This window comes from Homo sapiens, chromosome 5 (assembly GCF_000001405.40).
Source record: "Homo sapiens chromosome 5, GRCh38.p14 Primary Assembly".
In the NCBI taxonomy this organism is placed as follows: Eukaryota; Metazoa; Chordata; class Mammalia; order Primates; family Hominidae; genus Homo; species Homo sapiens.
In genome coordinates, this window is record NC_000005.10 from 147,360,185 (window position 1) to 147,383,255 (window position 23,071).

The following is a 23,071-nucleotide window of genomic DNA, read 5'->3' on the forward strand; positions in this document are numbered from 1 at the left end:
CACACCTGTAATCCCAGTACTTTAGGAGGCCAAAGCAGGTGGATCACCTAAGCCCAGGAGTTCAAGACCAGTCTGGGCAACATGGCAAGACCCTATCTCTACAAAAAGCACAAAAATTTTACCAAATGTGGTGGTACCCACCTGTAGTCCCAGCTACTTGGGAGGCCAAGGTTGGAGGATCACTTGAGTCTGGGAGGTCGAGGCTGCAGTGAGCCATGATTGTATCACTGCAATCCAGCCTGGGCAATGGAGTGAGATTCTGTCTCAAAAAAAAAAAAAAAAAGAAAAAAAAAAGAAAGAAAGAAAGAAAGAAAAAAAAGGAAAAGAAAAGGGAAAGATTGCCTTATTGTTCTGCTTTTGCTGTTTCTCAGGCTCTGCCAACTTGCTCAAGGTCACAGTAAGTGGTGAAGGTAGAATTTGAACCCAGAGAGCACAGCTCCAGAGCTAATGATCACAACTATTGCTTGAGCAATTGATTTGTTCATTCATTCAACAAATTTCTCTCCAGTGATTCTGAATGCCAGATTCTGTATTAGACAGTAGGAATATGGTGGTGAGCATGCAGAAGCATTCCCTGCCTTTGCTTTGTGCTTCATTCTCCCTATTACATCCCTCAGGAGTTAGGTTTATTCTTAGAAGGGTAAGTAAAAGGTTCATAGTGTGTCAAAGTGCTTAGAGAATGCATAACTTGGGGTCCTCTCTGGGGGTAAAATTGACTGTAGCTCTGCCTTCCACTGGAATCAATTGAAAGAACTACAGTTACAAAGTGTAAAGAACCCACAGCTGTTGTAAAACCTTACACTCTCCAGAATGCTTGCTCCCTCTTTTCTCCCTCCCTCATCCCCAACAGATGGCTGCAAGTGCTTCCCTTGCTGCTTCCAGGTGACTCTGAGATAGAGAGATTATCCAATGTATGCTGTACCAAATTCTGCACGTTGTCTGCGACTGTTATAGAAATTTAGATCCTTTAGTTGAAACCTTCCCAATCAAAACAAATAACATCTTCTTAGCCTTCTTGATTTCAGGGTGAGCCACATATTTGAGGCCCAATAGGACCCAAATTTTAATCGGTGCATGATCTAAATAAGCGAAGAGTTTATCCATGAAGGCCTATGCATGCCTGTGTGTGTTGACTGATGAATGAGGCTACTGAGAGAGATTAGAAAATTAGAAATGTTTGCCTGCTGTGAGCAATCTAGCAACGGATGATAAACATCCATAAAAGTGTTTATATTTTTGATCCTGGTAATTCTCCTTTGGAGGAACATGTTGAGAAAATATAATACTAATGTCTCAGGGAATCAAACTGGTTTAATTTTTCGTGTTTTTCAGCACCTGAGATGTTCAGCTCCAGAAAAGGAGCAGGCTATTCCTTTGCTGTTGACTGGTGGTCCCTGGGAGTGACGGCATATGAACTGCTGAGAGGCCGGGTACTGTAGTAGCATTTCCTCTTTGGTTATTTTTCCAGCAAGTTCTATTTTAGAATGAAAGAATGTATTGTTTGCTAAGATCCAAGCAGTTCACTTGAAAGCTGAAATCAGCTATGCCATGTGATGTTGATAACACCCCTTGAGATTTCTGCATAGGTTAATTCATTTGTCCCGCATATGGGACCAACCATGTCAATTACCATTAAATTACACAGTTAAAAGTAAAGGAATAATATGGATATTATAAACTCCCAAAGAGGGGAAATCAATACACCTCACTAAATATCTTGTGTAAATATCTGTGTTTGTTTAAAGAAAGTCATTTTGCAGTCATAGTACAGGACTCTAATTCAGACATACCTCACCAAGGCTAGTGTGAATTATTAATACAACACAATTCATGCTCTGTCTTGTTGGATTTCTATCACTTGGCTCCTGGGTTCTGGGTTCAGTGACAAATTAGAGTCATTTCCTTTTAAAGGAAACATTTCTTAAACTAAGAATCTCTTTCCCAGAAAAAAGAGATGAAAAGAAAGCAAATATGCTGAAACATATTTTATACAATTTGTGCAAACTATTACATAATAGAAATACACTCCTTAGGTTATATCTCAGTCAGCTCTGCTTACCATAATAAAATACTGCAGACAGGATGGCTTAAATAACAGACATCTATTTTCTTGGTTATGGAGGTTGGAAGTCTGAGATTAAGATGCCAGAATGGTTGGGTTATGGTGAAATCTCTTTTTGGCTTGCAGATAGCAGCCTTTTTTCTGTGTCCTCACATGGCAGAGAGAGATCTTTGTCTTCTTATAAGTCTACTAATCCCATCACGAGGGACCTACCCCCATAAACTAACCTAACCCTTATTCCCTCTCAGAGGCTCCATTTCCAAATACCATCAAATTGAGGGTTAAGGCTTCAACATCTGAATTTTGAGTGGGACACAAACATTCAGTCCATGACATTCTATCCTTGACCCCTCCAATATTCATGTCCTTCTCATATGCAAAATACATACATTCAACAGTCCCAAAAGTCTTAACTTATTCCCATATCAACTCTAAAGTCTGAAGTCCAAAATCTCATCTAAACATCATAGAAATTGTGTATGGGTGAGACTCGAGGTATGATTCATCCTAAGGCAAAATTTCTCCTCAGCTATGTACCTATAAAAGCAGACAAGTGGCCAGGCACTGGCTCATGCCTGTAATCCCAACACTTTAAGAGGTAGGAGGCAGGAGGATTCCTTGAGCCCAGGAGTGTGAGACCAGCCTGGGCCACATGGGAGACCCTGTGTCTACAACACCTTTTTTTTTTAATTAGCCAGGCATGGTGGGGCAAGCCAGTGGTCCCAACTACTCAGGTGGTTGAGGTGGGAGAATCACTTGAGCCCAGGAGGTAGAGGCTGTAGTGAGCCAAGATCATGCCACTGCACTCCAGCCTGAGCTACAGAGTGAGACCCCATCATTAAACAAAACAAAACAAAAAACAAACAAACAAAAAACAAGCAAGTTATGTGCTTCCAAAATACAATGATACCATAGCTGTGGGATAGAGAATCCCATTCCAACATTTCAAAAGAGAAATGGGAAAGAAGGAAGGGGCATCAGCTCCTAAACAAGTCCAGAACATATCAAAGCAAATTCTATTATATCTTAAAACTCGAGAATAATCTTCTTTGAGTTGTTGGTTTGCCCTCTAGATCTACACAGGCATGGGAGCAATCACTCTCATGGCTGGGGATGGGGAGAGGGGACTTGCTTAAGTGGCTCTCTACAAAGGCACTACCCACATGGCTCTCTGTGAAGGCTCTGTCTACACAGCTCTGTTGAGTGGTGGTCCTGCCCTTCGAAACAGAGGTGGAGGCAACCCTGCTCCCCAAGCCAGTGCACTCTGGACCTGTAGTGGGAATGGCAGCCCTGATGATCTGTGAATCGCCCTCATGATCCTTCTTCCTTTTACTTGAAGGATAGCACATGTTCACAGCTGGATAGCATTACGGTCCCAGCCTGTAAAATCCAAGAAGTCTGACAGCCTTTCTCCATAAATTCAAACTGGCAGCATCTGCTAGTATAATCCCATCTTTATTTCTAGCTTCTGTTGTGATAACTACTTGATTGTTCAGCTACACTCTAGTGTGCTCTTCAGAACAGGCTTGCTCATTTTCTGCAATATGGATAGAAATCTTCAATTTCTGGTTGCTTTTTGCTTAATTATTTTTTCTTCAATTCAAACATTCCCTTTAACATTTTACTATAAGCAGACAGAAGGAACCAAGTTACTCCTTCAAAGTTTTGCTTAGAAATCTCCTCGGCTGGCCTGGTGCAGTGGCTCATGCCTATAATCCCAGCACTTTAGAAGGCTGAGGCGGGCAGATCACCTGAGGTCAGTAATTCGAGTCCAACCTGATCAACATGGAGAAACCCCATCTGTACTAAAAATACAAAATTAGCCGGGCATGGTGGTGGATGCCTGTAATCCCAGCTACTCAGGAGGCTGAGGCAGGAGAATCACTTGAACCTGGGAGGTAGATGTTGCAGTGAGCTGAGAACACAACATTGTACTCCAGCCTGGGCAATGAGAGCGAAACTCCATCTCAAAAAAAAAAAAAAAAAAAAGAAATCTCCTCAGCTAAATATCTCATTTCATCACTCACAATTTCTACCTTCTGCAAAATAGTAGAACACAGTTCAGACAAGCTCCTTGCCACTTTATAACAAGAATCACCTTTCCTCCAGTTTCCAATAACATGTTCCTCATTTCTGTCAGACCTCACCAGAATCACCCTTAATATCCATATTTCTAGTGCATACATCCACAGTCTTCCAGCTCAATAACTAGTTCCAAAGTCACTTCCACATTTTAAGGCATTTGTTCCAGCAGCATTCCAATTCTCAATACCAAAATTTTAGTCTGCAATATCTGCCTTCACAAAATACCACAGAATTGGTGGCTTAGGCAACAGAAATTTATTTTCTCAGTTATGGAGTCTAGAATTCTGAGATTAACGTGCCATCATGGTTGGGTTCTGGTGAGGGCTTTCTTCCTGACTTGCAGACAGCTTCTTTCTTGCCCTCACATGACGGAGAGAGAGATAATCTCTTTCTCTTCTTTTTGTAATAAGGCCACTAATCCTATCCTGAGGGCTCCACCCTTATGACCTAATCTAACCCTAATTACCTCCCAAGGGCTTCATCTCCAAATACCATCATATTGAAGGTTAGGGATTAAATTTAGAAATTTTGGGGGGATACATTCAGTCTGTAACAGGTTGTATACTCTCAAGGTCCCAGTGATGGATGCAATCAGTGATTCCTCTAAGACCAAAGAGTTGAAGACCTGACTTTAGGAGCTTGTTTATCCCACAGAACTAAAGAATTGGGTATCTCAAGTCATCATCCAGATACTGCAGCTCTCCTCTCCTAACTTTTTGGAGTCATTCTTTCTGCTGCTGTCAATAGCCCTCTTCTTTGGTCCCACAACACACCATCATGATTTCTGCATTAAAAATGCCATCTCCCAAGTAATTAACCTATTCACAGTAAGAACAGTTGTTAGAAGTTGGGGTTATTTCATCATGGTCCAATGGCTTTATCTTGCTCAGGAAATCAAAGATGAGTGTTTCTAAAGCAAAAAAAAGGAGGATCTCACAATTGTATCTGTTTCATTCACTCTGCAGGGTCCATTTTACACCCAAACATTCATTAGTTCATTGTTTGTACTCCTGCCTTTCCTGAGGAAGTCATTGTAGCACTATTTCTTAAGTATATTCAAATTTGGATAAGTTAGTCAAATTGATGTGAAAGGACCACCCTTGTAAGCCAAATGTGTAAGTCCTACATAGGGATATTACCTGTTTTTATCTCCTGATGGGCTTTTTTTTTTCAAGTTTCTAAATAAATCCAGTGAACAAGTAGATACGCTACTCATGATTATATAGGAAAACAGAGAAGAGAAACATACACTTACTTAAAAGTAGAAACATATCTGCTCTTTCCCACTTCACCCTTAATTTTTTTCTCCCCAGCCAATTTACTCACCTTCTGTGGCTGTGCTTCTGTGTTAGACCCTTGCTAGCTGCTTCTGGGGTTCAGAGCAATTGTGCTCTGCCCTCATCTTTTATGACACACCTAGCAAAACAGAAGCAGAGGAGCGAGTTGAAACAGACAAACGACTATCTGTTATTCTTCAAACATGCCTAGGATTGTATTTAACTATCACCTATCTAAAAGAGGTATTCTCGCCTGCCTGGAAAGAATTTTGCTAAGAAAATTGTTTCTCTTCTTCCCATATTATTTTACCTCTATGCTAGTTCCCTGTGATTTGATATGTCAACTTTGACAAATTCATTTTTCTAAAGCACAGATATGACCTTTTTTGTTAAGAAAAAGAAACTACTGTTGCTCCCCAGTGCTACACACACACACACACACACATACACATACACACCCTTCACAAGCCTTATCTGCACCCCCGCCCACTCCCCACAACAAACTTCAGATGTCTTAGCTTGGCATTCTTCGGAATTAGGTCAACGTTTCAGATTTTGCTTCCATTTGTGTATTTCTGACCCTTCATGAACTCATTTTGGCCTCTTAGAACTTCTTCCTCTTCTCAAAGCATCTCTTGGGTTTTTTAACCTCTTGTTCCTTCGCCTATAAAGAGAGTTTCCAAGGCAAACCTTGGTCTTCTTTAAAAATCACTCTGCGTAAGATTTGAAATCACTAAATGAAGTTTTAATAAAGGATATATCTTCATTGCAGGGCTTTTCAAAATCTTTATAGCCAAGTATTTTGGTCATTTCTAAGAAAGGACACACTATTAAACTATTCCAGTTCGTGTTGGGGAGGTTTTTCTAGATCTCTTTATATTCAAATTCTATTCATACTTTATCACCTATGACAAAATAGCACTTTCTCTAAAGAAACATTCTCTGACCTCCCTATCTAAAGTGATCCGAATCTCTTCCAAACATTTATTTACTTTATGTATCCTGTGAATCTTTGGAATCTAAGCTTATTAGAAAATATAGAAAACCACGAAAATGAAAGCAAAAATCAGCTGTAGTCTCTAAGGCAAAGAACATTTCCAATTAAGAAATTAAACTCCCTTTGACTTTTAAACCCCATCTTAGCAGTTTGTTGCATTCACTTCCAACTTGTTTCTGTTCTCATAAGGATACTCTATCTTCAGATAGATAGATATAGATAGATGTGTTGTTTTAGCAAAAATAGAAGTATGTTTTACCTTGTTGAGCCTTTTTTTTTTTCATTTCATAAGATAAAATGTACAGCTTTCTAGATCAGAACACCTAAATCTATTTTCTTTTTAAGGATTAAATCTATAGGCATATCAATTTTTATTTTTTATCTCTTGTATATTATTAGGTTGTTAATTCATTAAAGGTAAAGTATGTATCTTATATAGGTTAGTATTATTCACAGTATTTAACTGTTTTTTTTTTCCTCAGGAGAGTCTTGCTCTGTCCCCCAGGCTGGAGTGCAATGGCCCAATCTCGGCTCACTGCAACCACCCCCTCCTCTGTCCAATCAACCCTCCCGCCTGAGCCTCCCAAGTAGCTGGGACTACAGGCATATGCCACCATGCCTGGAAATTTTTTGTATTTTTTGTAGAGTTGGGGTCTTACCATGTTGCCCAGGCTAGTCTTGAACTCCTGGGCTCAAGCAATCCACCTGCCTTGGCCCTGCAAAGTGGTGGGATTACAGGTGTGAGCCGCCGCACCTGGTCACAATATTTAACTTTAAATAGGTATATAATACATGGTTATTTTCACTCACATCCATGTGAAGAGACCACCAAACAGGCTTTGTGTGAGCAACAAGGCTATTTCACCTGGGTTTCAGGTGGGCTGAGTCCGAAAAGAGAATCAGCGAAGGGAGATAGGAGTGGGGCCGTTTTATAAGATTTGGGTAGGTAAAGGAAAAAGGGGGGTTGTTCTCTGGTGGGCAGGGGTGAGGATCACAAGGTGCTCAGCGGGGGACGTTTTGAGCCAGGATGAGCCAGGAGAAGGAATTTCACAAGGTAGTGTCATCAGTTAAGGCAGGAACCGGCCATTTTCACTTCTTTTGTGGTGGAATATCATCAGTTAAGGCAGGAACCAGCCATCTGGATGTGTATGTGCAGGTCACAGGGGATATGATGGCTTAGCTTGGGCTCAGAGGCCTGACAGTTATTGAATGAATGGAGAAACAAATCACTTAGACACCTTCTAGGAAAAAATGACCAACTATGCTACCTGCAATTACGTTTCAAAATGTAGCTTATCTGAAGAAAAGGAAGTAACATTTAATTACAAGCATCAATACAACTCAAGCACAGAGGAAGTGTGCTAAACAATTTCCTCCATACGTACAAATTTTTATTTACAGAAAAGTATATGTCTTAATGAGAAAATGTGCTCGAAAACATTCTCATCATTTCTGAGTTTGGTTTCAGTCTTAATGAATGTGTCCCTTAACTATTAATCTGCTTTGTCATCTCTCTAACTCCCTACTATCTCATTGCCATTGCAAAGGCAAAGGTCCACATCTTTTATAGTTTCATATTATCCAAAAGTGTTAACTTAGGATAGATGTGTACATAGTTTTGTACTCATTGTACATGCTTAGCTGCAATTCTTTTGCCTTTGCACTTCTGAAATACAACCATATTCACAACACATCATTTGTTCCCTTATAACATTTCACCTTTTCCACTTTGTTTATTCTCTATATGCTCACTGTTAGTTTAGATGCTGCCTTAGGCTTTTATGATATATACTGTGACTGCATACTGTAATTTTTCTCTATAGCATGTATCCCATTTATTTAAGTGTGTGTGTGTGTGTGTATACAGTCTATATAATAAATTTACATGCTTCCTTAAGTAGACTGTAGGCCCCACCAACATAGAAACCATATGTGTCTTGTTCTTCATTGTACCCTCAATGCCTAAGAAAGGTGCTGGAACATGGTAGGCATTCAATAAATAATTGGTAAATAAATAAATATACAATTCTGGTAGTTGATTAATTCAAATTAATTTTAAAATTTAGAACTGTAAAAGTAAATTAAAAAATAAGATAAAGACAATGTGATTATTTTTTAATAAACCAACAGGTCATGGAGATTTTAAAAATTAAATTCAGTCATATGGCCTTGTAAAGTAACTAGAGAAAAATGTACACACTTAAACCAGCTGCTTGTGGCATTCATCAGTTAATTCATTTGTTTATAAAATCATTTTATTTTCTAGGTGGCCCAGAAACAGTAGGTTGAGAAGCAGCAATGAATTAAAATCAAGAAGAAACACAGAAAAAAGTAAAAACACATGTGCATACACATATAAGCCTAGAAGCTTGAGTATACTAAGCCTAATCTGATTCTTAATGATAAACATGGTCTGAATCATATGGAGTAACCTAACCCTTTGGCTACTAAATTACCAATAAACATTGATAATGGTGATAAAGCATCTAGCACTCCTTTACTGATATTGAGTTAATGAGTTATTTCTACTATATAATTACCAAGACATATGATATAGCTATGGTCCTTTATTTAGTGTTGAGGGGGTAAATATGGCAGTTGTTTTTAGATCTTACTTAAAAAGCAAAAATGTTTGAATTAATCTCCCTTTCAAGGGCCACCTCCTGGCACTTCATGGTTCCATGAATAGCTGACATTGACTTGCCATGTGTAAAATTAAGCTTTTCTTCCCATCACTTTTCTTGAGGACTCATTTTGCTGTTCACTATTCATTCACATTTACATATGCCCATTTTTACCTTTGTGTCAATAATGATAAAAATCTCTCTCTTATATTGTGTCTAATACTATTAGCCACTCACTCTGTTGAGAAATTTACACATATTATCTCCTTTAATTTTTCCAGCAATCTCATGAGGTAGCTCATTTTACAGATGAAGTAACAAGCTCAGAAATTGAGTGGAGAAGTTTAGCACCAAATCCTTTTAACCTCAAACACATGATTATTTTATATTACCTCTTAACACTGATTTACTACAGGGAAAAACTTAAACCCTTTCATTTCCCCCAATTTAGGTCATCCATCAACAGTCATTTATTAAATATCTTAAAAGGGCCAGGCATGTGATCAATGTGTATATCCATATTAACTGTGCTGTGGCTAGTTAATCGAATATGGAAATTTTGTTCATTAAATAAACATGTATTGTGCACCTACTGAATGCTTGGTCTCATGAACAAGAATGATATAATCTCTGGCTGTGAGTATCTTACAGTTCACATAAGAGACATGAAATTTCAGTGTTGGTGAGTCCCCTACAAAATAATATAGATAAAGGCTGTCCTCTAGTGTAAAGCTGTGAAAACTACAGCTAATCCACAGTTTTCTTTTGTTTAATTTCTTTTCTTTTTAAATTACTTTTCTTCAAAATTAAAACTGTAGAAGAACCTGGTTCTTCCCCCAAAATTTTTTTTAAAAGCTTCTGCCTCATCACAAAATTCTCCACCCTGCCATACTCTGTGGAACCAGGGACTCATAGCATTTGTGGGACTGGAGTTGATGTTTTCTGAGCAGTTTTCTGTCCTGAGCTTCCTCATTATGTTGCAGTGAAAGGGATGGTATGGTAAAATTCTGGATTTACTTGCAATCAACCCTTACATAATAATTTTTTAGACTTCCATTTATTGAGGACTTGTCCAGTATTTCGTGTTAATACTTATATAATACCTTATAAAACAATTTCAAATCAGCATCTCAGAGGCTGATTCAGTCCACTTGAATGTTTTGTTTGGCTCAGTGGAGTGTTCAACTTTAAAATTTATGGTATTTTAGAAGCGACCATAAATTCCTAGTGTCTCTTTAAGAAAAAGTAGGGGGTCTGGCAACACAGGACCACCTACACATATGGCAACGCAAGAGTCAGCTGGACAGGGTTAGAAATTGATATAGATATTTTATCGGTTGAAAGTTTAGCTTGGAAACATTTGGAAATTTTTTTTTTCTTTTGTCCTATACAAATGAAGACTTTTACTTCTTTTCTCCCTTAAGAGACCGTATCATATTCGCTCCAGTACTTCCAGCAAGGAAATTGTACACACGTTTGAGACGACTGTTGTAACTTACCCTTCTGCCTGGTCACAGGAAATGGTGTCACTTCTTAAAAAGGTAAGAAGGAAGACTGCATGTCCAAACGAAGTAACAAAAGGAAGCAGGCTCTCTGGCTTAAGTTTAGAAGTTAGTATACAATATTGGGGACAGTCATGATAGTATACATTTGTAGAGTGTATTTTCTAGCTGTTAGCTTTCAAATACATGGCTTCATTAACTCAACTCAGATTCCCCTTGGATGTCCCAAAGCCATCTTAAACTCAAAGGACTTCTTTATCTTTGTCTTTCCTGAATATCTTCTCAGGAAATTCTCTCAGTGACTGGCTTCTCTATCCAAATCCACTTACGCCAGCCAGCAACCAGGACTCATTTGTCATCTGCGTATTCAATTCATCACCAGGTTCTGAAATTTTATATTTTAAGTATTAAAATATTTCACTTCTCTCTGTCCTCACTACTATTTCCCTGATCCAACTGCCATCAGTCTAGCCTTATAACGGGTTTGTCCACATACACTTTTACCACTCCATTCTATTCCCCATGCAGCCCCACAGTGGTCTGTTAAAGGACAGTCCAGGATATTTTCCTTATTCTTAGAATAAAGATTAAAATAATTTTGTGGTACAAAAGTTCAAAATACCTCTCAAGCCTTGTTTTGGACTTTTGGACTTTTGTCCCCCCTTTGACTACACATAAACTGCTTTGGCCTTTTTCTTCTTCTTTTCTTTCTTTTCTCCTTCTTCACTTTTACATACCAGTCTTCCTCTCACCACAGGACCTTTGCACATGCCAGTACCTATTCCTGGAACAGTGCCTCCAATCCTAGTTCCTCCAGTTCCTCCTTGAGAGCAGTACTACTCAATGTGGTTCACTGGTTCTAGTCCATGAATTTTTTCTGCAGGTCTATTGTAAGTAAAGAACTTGAGAGAAGCATTTAGAAACTTTTATAGCAATTGGACACTGCTGTAGCATCTAAACACATGATCAATGGACTTATCTTATTGAAGAGGGTCCAAGCTTGTTTGACGGTTGTTGAACTCAAGTCACAAGGTGTCTATGTGGGGTGCTGCATACTGGCAATGCATAATAAGACCACATACTGATTTCAGTGGATTGGAAATTGAAACAGACAAAAACAAACAAAAATAACTGACCCTTCTACATAGTTTGGGAAGCACAACTTTAGCTCTTAGCTCAAATATCACCTTCTTGGTGTAAGTTCACATAACACTATCTTTCCTTCATAGCATTTTTCAGTTTAAAATTATACCCAGCATTTGTGTGATCCTTGGTTACGTACCATTTTCTTCTTAGCTTCATGAGGGTAGGGACCATGTCTGACATGTGTTACCATTGTATTCTCAGCATCTAACACAAAGCCTGAGAAGTGAAATTTGACAAGTATTCAAATAAATGAGGTCCACAGCTTTCATCAGATTTTCAAGGTACCCATCTTCATCAAACAGATGAAGAACAGTTATAGCGGGAGGTCAAAAGTGTATATTGAGTGATGATACAAAACAAGAATGAGGGGCCCAAGAGGAATGGGCTTGGCCTTTTTTTTTTTTTTTTTTTTTTTTTTTTTTGAGGAGAAAATTGCACCAGTTGTGGCTGGTAATGGAAAATAGCTTTAGTGGCTAAGGAGTCATCATTTGTGTCTCTTGTTTTTGGAGTCAAGTTCCTTATTTTGGAATAGGGACATTGCATCAGTAATGTCAAAGACATAGAATGGGGGATCATTTTTCATAAGCAAATTCTGCTTAGTTCCAAGACAGCCCTGCTTCACTCCACAAATTACACCCTGAGGTTGCATGGTTGTCATCTTCAGAAGCATTCTCAAGTGGGACTGACAATGCCTATTTGAGCCACACAATTGCTGTGATGTTGGCTCAGGAATGGTTAAGGGGGCAAAAATCTTTTATCTCAATTAGTAAAATCTAGAACTATAACAGTTACTTTAGTTACACCTTATCTATGCCGCCCCCAATGTATTTTAATTAGTTGTAAAAACAGCTACAATTCTTAGTAGGAAATGAGTTCTACTTGTGAAATGTATCAACATTTGTCACCATAGGTTTTCTACTAGGTACTTTGTATAAATAGCCTCCCACTAATCCTGATTACAATCGTATGAAATACATTATTACCACTTTTTTTAAACACATGGGTAAACTAAGATTTAGAGAACAAATTTGCCCTTAGTAAGTAGAGGAGTCAAGAATCAAAGATATATTTGACTTAGTAGGACAAGCCATTTTTACTCATCACATTGCAGAATCCTACATACTGTTCATTCTAATAATGTATGATCTACATTGTTTATGGGATTAGGGATAGGGGACACTGTCTATTTTCCTTCAGTCCTACAGTTGAAAGCATTTAGAGGGAATTTGTATGATTTTTTTTTGTCCTTCTATCCTTTCTTATGGCCTTGATGTTTGCATTTTATTGGCAGCTACTCGAACCTAATCCAGACCAACGATTTTCTCAGTTATCTGATGTCCAGAACTTCCCGTATATGAATGATATAAACTGGGATGCAGTTTTTCAGAAGAGGCTCATTCCAGGTTTCATTCCTAATGTGAGTCAATCCTAACAAAGCCAAATAACTCCCATTCAGTGCGCATTACCCGGTGTGCCAGATTCACACATTGTCTCATTAGATAATCACACCAGTGTTGTTAAGAGAGCCCCAATTCCCATTTTACAGATGAGAGAATTGAGACATGCACAGGGTAAGTTTGTCACCAAAGGTCACAAAGCTAGCAAGTAGTCAAGCTGGGATTCTAATCCAGGTGTATTTGCGACTGAAGTTCTAGCTTTTAACCACTTTTTATGGTCTGTTTTTATTGAAAGGAAGTCCTAGTTCCCCAAATAGTCATTCTCATGAATCTGCTGGGGTTTTTTTTAAGTTTTCTTTGATTCTAAAGATGCAGAAGTTTGTGTCCCTAGAGATCTGAGTCAAAGAATTGAAAATTGTTGGAGTTGGGGTGAGGAATTTATTTTAGCATTTGCCCCTCATCCTTTGTTTGTTCTGTCTCAGGGATTTATATTTGTAAGGACTGATAACCAAAGACATATAATTCCCATTGGATGGATAGCCAAACCAATGGACTTCTGTGGTCTACTGCATTATGCTGGTAAGAGCCAGAGTCCAGAAGCTTAGGCCAAAGGTCCCAAGTGAGGCCACTAGCTCCTTCTCTCTGCCTAGAACTGAAATTATATGTTCAGTTGTAGGTATATTGGGCAGAATAAGAGGCTTCTAAAGGGGCCTGTAGAACCAATTCAGTTTTCTGTTTTGGCTGTCATGGCAGCTCAGGCCTGCAATCTCAGCACTTTAGGAGGCCGAGGCAGGAGGATCAGGGGTTCAAGATCAGCCTTGGCAACATGGCAAGACCGTGTCTCTACAGAAAAAGAAAAAAAAATTAGGCAGGCGTGGTGGTACTTGGGTGTAGTCTCAGCTACCTAGGAGGCTGAGGTAGAAAGATCACTTAAGCCCAGGAGTTTGAGGCTGCATGAGCAGTGATTGTGCCACTGCACTCTAGCCTGGGTAACAGAGTGAGACCCTGTCTCAAAAAAAAAAAAAAATTACTCTTAAGCCCATATGAGGCATTTGCTGTGGGAATGTGAGAGTGTGATCCTTCATGTACACACAGCAGGAGGCATGCTCCAATGAGAGGGTAAGGAGAAAGTACAAAGTGAGAGAAAGGAGAAAGCAGGGTGGTGGAATTGTACCTTATGGAGCAACAGGAGGGTAGGTCTGAGTTCTTACCTCTCCGCTTTGTGGGGTCCATTAGGGGCAACTTGTACCATAATTGACACATGACACAATGAAGGTCTAGGCACCCCAACTCTTGCTTCCCCCTCCTTCTATGTGTTGCGTCCCTGCAATTAGCCATCAATGCTGGCTCAAAAGAAGTTCTACGTTATGCTTCTCTGACTTTAGTGTGAATCGGAATCATCTGGGAAGCTCATTAAAGTGCAAGTTCTTGGACCTCACATTCTGAAATTCTGATTTGGGAAGTCTGGTTGGAGAACTGGGAAGCTGAGCAAGCAACTTAGGTGATTCTGAGTTACATGATTATTAGAGCGCACTTTCGGAAACATAACCCAAAATTTATTTTCCACTTTAGAAAAATAACTGTAAGTCGGCTTTTGTTTTTACTCATTGAGGCCTAATTGAGAGTTTAGAAAAATAAACGAAGAATATGAAAAACGATGCTGGCAATAAATAACGTAAAACTTAGAGTGGGAATCCCAGTGTATTATTCATGGACTGCTCCGTTAAGACTAAGTATTATTTTCCGTATTAGGTCTGCTGTGTTTTTCAGAATGATACAGTAATCTGAGGATTGAGCCAACTGTCTTCCTTGCAGAAAGGCAGGCTGAATTGTGATCCTACCTTTGAACTTGAGGAAATGATTTTGGAGTCCAAACCTCTACATAAGAAAAAAAAGCGTCTGGCAAAGAAGGAGAAGGATATGAGGAAATGCGATTCTTCTCAGGTAAGCAGGTCCCCACCAAACTCAGGGTCATGGGTATCCCCATGATGGCTGCAATATCTTCGAGAGCTTCTACTGGGAGGTCATTTCAGCTTCCTGCTTTTGCTGCTTAGTGAAATAGGAGAAGTAGATCAGCCGGGTTTCTAAAAGGGCAGACCAGAGCTCCTCTGAGGATCCTAGCAGCAACATTTTACTTGTAGGCTTTCCGTCTAGAGTTCTGCCATTAACTTGACTCAGTTATTTCTCTCTTCCAGTTCTCAATTCAAAATTTACAAATTTCCTGGGAGAGGAACTGTCATTGGCCAAGCTTAGGTCAGGGGATGATTCATAAAATTATGGTAAAGGGGCAGGTTTCAAAGTACACACATGGTTGTTTTGGACCTCACTCCTGCTTTGAGGAGTTTCTGGGAGCAGCCAACCCTAGAGATGATGTCTGTTCTTTGCCACAAGCAGAATTTTATGATATCAAGCCTCACAGAAGAGTGTCTGTTCACAGGAATGACGGAATTCTAACATGGTGGAGCACTATTGCTGGATTTCAGGCTGAGTTAAATTAACTTTGTAACTAAGTATATTATTCTCTGTCAGAGTCAGAGCTCAGATTTCAGTGAAGTAACTTGCAAACACTCAGTAGGATTTTATACTCACATGTGGCTCTATGAATTATAATGATGATGAAGTAATAAAGTTACTTTGCCTCTAAAGGTCATCTATCTATCCACACGACCATTTCCATTCCTCCATCAATCCCTGCCTCCCTCCATCCATTCATTTAGGCTACTTTTTTTTAGTAGCTATGATCTGCCAGGTCCTGTGCTAAAGACTGGAGTGAGAAATGATTGAGATATAATTTCTATACTCAGTGCTGTCCCTTTTCTCAAAGATTGTGTAGTCTTGTGGTAAAGATGGCTCTGCAAACAAATAAGTATCCTCCATCTCCTTAATTTCTCTAGTAGTCAGGGGCCACTATATATTTCAATGGACAATTAACCAACGTTCACATCTCTGTCCTGTTTGATCACAGAACTGGCTTCTCGTCAGATTCCCTTCAGGAAATATTTTCTAGGACCCTCCAAGGAATGCTTAGCTGTGCTGCTAACCCGTCTTGCATATTGCTTGTCTCTGAACTGTCTTCTTCCCAATGGTCTGTTCCTCATGATCATGTCATAACCAACCCGCTTCTCCAGACTTGCTCCTTCCCCTGACCTAGCAGAACTTGGCTCAAGGTGGATACAGGCCTCTCTGATAACAGGACCTAACATGTGATAAAAACCAAGAGATCCTTTTTATTACAAGTTTTTAAAGTTTTAGAAATAACTGAGCAATTTAGGAATAACTTTTGACCATACGTACCATGCTCAACATGATCTGCCCATCTTTCCTGCCACATCCTTGTACTATCCCACTCTGACCCTCACTTAAAACCCTCCAACCTCACAGGCCCTGCAAGTGTCTCACTCTCAAGCACTGAACCTTTTGTTCTTCTTCAAGGCCTTTGCCCTTGCTCTTCCCTGTTCCTAGAATGGTCTTCCCTTTCATCTTCACATAGGGGGCTTCCTCTCATTCTTTATACCTTAAATATCACCTTGTCATTTCTGTTGTTGAATTATAGGATGTTTTTTACATATTCTGGATATTGGACCCTTATCAAATATGTGAACTGCAAATAGTTTCTCCCTTAGTCATTCTACGAAGCCAGCATTACCCTGATACCAAACTGGACAAAGACATCACAAAAAATGATAATTACAAACTGACATCTGTTATGAATATAGATGCAAAAATCCTTAACATATTAGCAAGGTGTTCAGTTAGGCTTTTGACTTAAGATGTTTCTTCTTTTTTAATATTGGTGTTTATAGCTATAAAGTTCCTTCTGAGCACTGCCTTCACCTATCCCATAAGTTTTGGGATGCTGTGGTTTGTTTTTAATTCATCTCTAAGTATATTCTGATATCTCATGTGATTTCTCTTTTTGACTCTTTTTTTAAGAGTTTGTTGTTTAATTTCCACATTTTTGTGAATTTTCCAGTTTTCCTTCTGTTATTGATTCCTACCTTCATTCCAATTATTTCAGTCTTTTTAAATTTTTTGATACCTGTTTTGTGGTTTCCTTCCATGGTTTCCTTTAACTCTGAGCATATTCAAGACGGTTGTTTTAAAATCTCACTCTAGAAAGCTCAATGTTTGAGCTTCCTCAGGACAATTTCTATCTGTTGATTTTAAGTCTTTGAATGGCAATATTTTCCTGTTTCTTTGTGTGCCTTGTGATTTTTTTTCTGTTGCTATTGAAAACTCGACATTTAAATATGATAATGTGGTAACTCTGGAAATCAGGTTCCTCCTTTCTTCATGGTTTGCTATTTTTTGATTGTTGAAGGCTGTAGTTATCCATTGTTTAGCGACTTCTCCAAACAATGTTTGCAGAGATTGTCTGCTTTGTTGTGTCATCACTGAAGTTTCTGTTACTTTAGCCTGTGCTCAGCTAATGTTTTGACTGAGATTTAACACCAAGAGCATTTTTAAGTTGTTTTTCTTTTCTTAATTTAGTGTTCACTTGGTTCCAGTAAACCTTTGAGTGCTTTCCGGAGTTTTGACAAAGTTGGTTTTGACAGTATCTGCTTGTTTTTTTGATGTTTCTGTTCAGAGATGGGGCTTGGAACTGCTTACATCAGCATTTTTCTCTAGATTCTTCTAATCTTGTACCCCAGGTTCAAAAATAAAAGGTACTTTGCTTCAAAACAAAGAATAGTCTTTCTTCCAAGAAGAATCAGAAAGATTATGAACTATTTTTCTGATTCTTCACTCTATTTTCTCTCTTTTACATTAAGGCTTTTAAAACATGAGTCAATCTTACCTTATTATATTATTAACATGCTCGTTCATTCATTCATTCATTTATTCAGATGACTGTAAAATTCCTGCTTTGTTAGGAAATATTTCTGACTAGGTGGTTAATGCTATGGTTAGATACACAAAGTGCTGTGGGAATTGCTCACTGGACCTGAGTGAAGGGTTAGGATAGGCTTTCCAGAGGAGGCAACATTTGATCTGGTTCCTCCAGATTGAGCAGAGGTAGGTGAGCATACAGGAAAGGACAAGAGCATTTCAAGGCTGGCACATCTCAGGGCACAGGCAGATCTTAATGTTACAGAGGAAATAAAATGACAGGTGGTTTCTGATCATAGGAATTACCCATGCTGTGTTCAAAAGGCTTGTGACATTACTCATCCTCCCTGCCTTTAGTCTTATCTAGAGCCATTCACTGAAGGCATTCCTTCAGCAAAATCTAACAAGAACATACACCATATCAGTATCATATTAGCTATAGCTTAGCCCCATTTCTGCCCCACTGTGTGTAGCTCAGAGTCACCTTGTTACTCTAGAGCCAAATTCATCACTGTTTAGGTACCACATTAGAAAAGAGTCAAGTGTTGGCAAGGGAATTCCAATCAAGCCACAAGCCTGGAAAAGGAGCTCTCTATTCTGAGCTCTCTGAGTTCTCTATTCTGTTTAATTGGTCTATGCGTCTGTCGTTGTACCAGTACCATGCTGTTTTGGTTACTGTAGCTTTGTAGTATAGTTTGAAGTCAGGTAGTGTAGTAGTGTAATAATGCCTCCAGTCTTTTTTTTTTTTTTTTTTTTTTTTTTTTTTTTTTTTTTTTTGCTTAGGATTGTCTTGACTATTCAAGCCCTTATTTGGTTCCATATACATTTGAAAATAGTTTTTTTTTCTAATTCTGTGAAGAATGCCAACAGTCATTTAATGGGAATAGCATTGAATCTATAAATTACTTTAGGCAGTATGGCCATTTTTATGATATTGATTCTATCTGGGAACCTGGAATGTTTTTCCATTTGTTTGTGTCCTCTCTGATTTCCTTGAGCAGTGGTTTGTATTTCTCCTTGAAGAGGTCCTTCATTTCCCTTGTTAGCTATATTCCTAGGTGTTTTATTGTTTTGTAGCAGTTGTGAATGGGAGTTCATTCATGATTTGTCTCTCTGCTTGCCTGTTGTTGGTGTATAGGAATGCTAGCAATCTTTGCACATTCATTTTATATCCTGGGTTTCAGTATTTTAAAAACTTACTTCAGGTGATTCTATGTGTGCAACCATGATTGAGATACACTGTTATAGAATCTAGGATGTGATAAACTAGAAGAACATAACTAAAGTTTTGCATTTTTCGGGTGTCTCAGTTTCCTCATTTATAGATGGAGTTGGTATGTGTACCAAGTTCATAGGCTTGTTCTGAGTAAATTAGTGCATGTAAAGTGCTCCACAGAATGTTAGCTGTTGTGATGCTTTACTTTCCATTGCACTTCCTGACTCCTAGCCTTTCTTTTCCTTGGCTCTTTTTATGCTCATGTCAGATGCCTCTATTGTTTCTTTCCCCCCAGAATATCCTCCACTTTATCTTGCTCTGCTCAACATCTTTAAAGTATAGAATCAACAGACTGCCATGCCACCCAGTCTGTCTGACAATTGAGGCAAATTCCCTAAGTCCTCTTGTTCTCCTTCTGAGATTTCCACCTGCTCTAACCCCTTCCAATATTTCAGATGCCGTCTCCAGCTATGATAATTTAATCAGTGTTTGCTCTGCTCATCCTTGATATGTGAGTCCTAAGATTTTAAGCGATCATTTCCCTTCTAAGTCATGTATGACCCATTAGTCCCTCCATTCTTTTTTCTTACCCCTCATTTCATATTCTCTTTATGGCTACTCCTGTTGATGTATCCATTTGGCCACACTTCTTAAACTTCTCCACCTAAAGCAGAGGAAAAAGAACAAGTTGAACATGAACCCTTTAAGGGTAATGGGGTCTGAAGTGTCACACTAAAAGGTCATCTGCAAGTATGTATTTCATATCTTTGTTTAAATAAAATAGTTACATAGTAGAGGGAAAAAAAATCCATGTGGATTTTGCATTTCACTCAATTATAACCTTGATTTTTAATGCTAAAAATTATTTTTCCTAAAATCTTGGGGTAAAAGTGTTGCTCCAAAGAGCTTTTATCAGATTATGTTTATCCTGTAGCTGCCTGTCCCCTGTGACCGATACTGGAAACCCTCAGGATTACAAATGCTTCCGTTTGCAAGTAAGAGTGAAATACAGCAGAACTGTGTCTTCTCCTTTGTCTTGTTCCCCATCTCTCTTCTGTGCTTTGTATTGTTTCCTCTCCTGTCACCTAAACAGGCACTCTGAAAGAAAACTCTCCAGTACTGGAGAACTTAGCATATTCTAATTCCTAGGTTAAAAAAAAATAATAAATGACTGAATGATTTTTTTTAAAGAATATTTTCCATCAGAAGAAATTTGGAAGTATTTTGTTGCAGAATTTTAAAACATTTGATCTGGGTCTAATTCTGTCCTGGGACTGGTAATCATCTTTTTTTGAGGCTAAATTTTCTCATTTTGATGAAAAAGTCATCAATAGATGTTGAAAGCTGGACAGTGCAGTGTCAAAGCAAATGCTTTGCATGTCTGCAAGAAAGTCACAAATAAAGAAGGCTCTGCTGACTAAAAGAGAAAGATACTTAATCAACTCCAGTACCATTGTTGAGGGGAACATTCTATCAGGATTCAGTATAGAGAGATATTTTTAGGCTATTCACAAAATCCAGGTAGAACCTCCAAGCTACATTTACAATAATACTAGCTTTTAGATTAATTGTTGTTTTTTAAATATGTATTAGCCTCTTATACAAATATAAGGAGTTACAAATTATTATTACAATAATCTTGGCTTTCGTGATTGTCCGATGTATTTACACGTACCGAGAGCTTTATTTCTCCGTATAGTTTCAAGTTACTGTCTCGTGTCCTTTCATTTCACCTTGCAGGACTCCTTTGAGCATTTCTTACAGGGAAGTTCTAGTGGTAATAAACTCCCTCCACTTTTATCTGGAAACATCTTAGTTTCTCTCTCACTTTTCAAGAACAGTTCTGCCAGATAGAGGACCCTTGGTTGATAGGTTTTTTTCTTTTAGCACTTTGAATATATCAGCCCACTGCCTTCTGGCCTCCAAAGTTTCTGATAAGAAATCTGCCCGTCATCTTATGATGTACTTGACAAATTTTTTCTCTCTTGCTGCTTTCAAGATTCTCTCCTTGTCTTTGGCTTTAGAAAGTTTGCTTATATTGGCTGGACATGGTGGCTCACACCTGTAATCCCAGCACTTTGGGAGGCTGAGGCAGGCGGATCACTTGAGGCCAGGAGTTTGAGATCAGCCTGGCCAACATGATGAAACCCTGCCTCTACTTAAAATTCAAAAATTAGCTAAGTGTAGTGGTGCACACCTGTAATCCCAGCTACTTGGGTGGCTAAGGCAAGAGAATCTCTTGAACCCAAGAGGAGGAGGTTGCAGTGAGCTGAGAGCATGCCACTTCACTCCAGTCTGGGCAACAGAGCAAAAGTCTGTCAGAAAAAAAAAAAAAGGAAAGTTTGATTATATTATGTGTCAATGTGGGTCTTTTTGAATTCATCTTACTTGGGATACACTGTGCCTTTTTGGATTTGGGGGCTCATGCCTTTCAGCTATGATTTCTTTAAGTATTCTGTTTTCCTTTTTCTCTCTCTTCTCCTCCTGGGACTTCCACAGTACGTACACTGGTTTGCTTGATGGTGTTCCATACATTCTGTAGGCCAGGGATGTCCAATCTTTTGGCTTCCCTGGGCCACGTTGGAAGAAGAGGAATTGTCTTAGGCCACACATAAAATACACTAACACTAACGATAGCTGATGAGCTAAAGAAAAATCACCCTCAAAAAAATCTCCTAATGTTTTAAGAAAGTTTACAAATTTGTGTTGGGCCACATTCAAAGCCATCCTGAGGCACATGTGGCCCATGGGCTGTGGGTTGGACAAGCTTGCTATAGGCTCTGTTCATTATTCTTCAATCTTTTTTCTTTCTGTTCCTCAGACTCAGTAATTTCCACTGTCCTGTCATCAAGTTTGATACTGATTCCTTCCTTGCCTGCTCAATTTTGCCGTTGAAACCCTGTAGCAAATTTTTAAATTTTAGTTATTGCACTTTTCAGCTCAAGAATTCCTTTTTAGTTTCTTTTTAGGTTTTCTATATTTTTATTAATACTTTAGTTTTGTTTGCACATCATTTTCTTGATTTTCTCTATATCTTCCTTTAGCTCTTTGAGCATCTTTAAGATAGTTGTTTTGATGTCTTTATCTAGTAGATCTACTGTTAGGTCTTTTTAAGGGATAGGTTTTTTGGTTTATGTTTTTTACTGTGAATGAGCCATACTTCTCTATTTCCTGGCATGCCTTGTTATTTTTTGTATTGGACACTTGAATCTAATAATGTGATAAATCTAGGAAAATCAGATTTCTCCCATCCCCAGGGTTTGCTGTTTTTTGTTATTGTTTTTATTTTTATTTTTTATTATTGTTGTAAGCTGTCTCCATGCCAAGGATCAGCTGAGGTGTAAACATAAGATCTTCTTAGGTCTTTTCTGAGCCTGCACCCTTCCCTGGTCATGTGCAGTCACTTTCTAATTTTCCCTACACATGCAGTTGTTTTTGAATGTCCCAGCCTTTCACGTGTGGCTCCCAAAAGGAGGAAAGGAGAAAAATGAAGAGGGTGAAAAGGTGCTGGCCCTTTAATTCTCCCAGAAGTCACTTCAGCCTGAGGGAGAGTGGCTGGCAACATTGTGGGGGAGGTGCAACAACAATGGCCATCAAGCATTTTGTTTGCACCTCTGTGATCAGAAGCAGCAGTGTCGGAAGCACAGATCCTCAGAATTTGGAGAACACAGTTCTTGCTTTCCACCCTGACTCTCACAGGCTGTGTGCAAACTGCTCCGGAACATGTGTGTGCTCAGCTCCCTCCCATGGGGCTGGAGGATGAGGGATGGGTAGCTGCTGCTGTGCTAAGAGCTTAAGTTGGTCATAATTAACTGCGCTTTGCCACCCAAGCCTTCCCTGAAAGTTGCAAGCTTTCAATAGACTCCAGAGTTCTAAAATAGTGACATTAGACAGATTCTGCCAGTGCAATCGCTGTCTAGGAGGGGAGACAGATT

General features: G+C 38.9%; 1 protein-coding gene across 8 annotated transcripts in view; it reads left to right on the forward strand.

Moving 5' to 3' along the window:
* Positions 1–23,071, forward strand: part of STK32A (serine/threonine kinase 32A) — a 166,965-nt gene that overhangs the window by 125,159 nt on the left and 18,735 nt on the right. For 5 of the 8 annotated variants that reach the window (XM_011537577.3, NM_001112724.2, NM_001287740.2 and 2 more), the window contains 4 exons: positions 1,333–1,430; positions 10,470–10,586; positions 12,985–13,110; positions 14,906–15,034. In XM_011537577.3, coding sequence (XP_011535879.1) covers positions 1,333–1,430; positions 10,470–10,586; positions 12,985–13,110; positions 14,906–15,034 — 470 coding nt within the window. Of the gene's footprint in view, positions 1–1,332; positions 1,431–8,687; positions 9,643–10,469; positions 10,587–12,984; positions 13,111–14,842; positions 15,035–23,071 lie in introns of those variants that run through there. The other 3 variants (XM_017009213.2, XM_011537579.3, XM_047416912.1) reach the window with 3 other exon arrangements.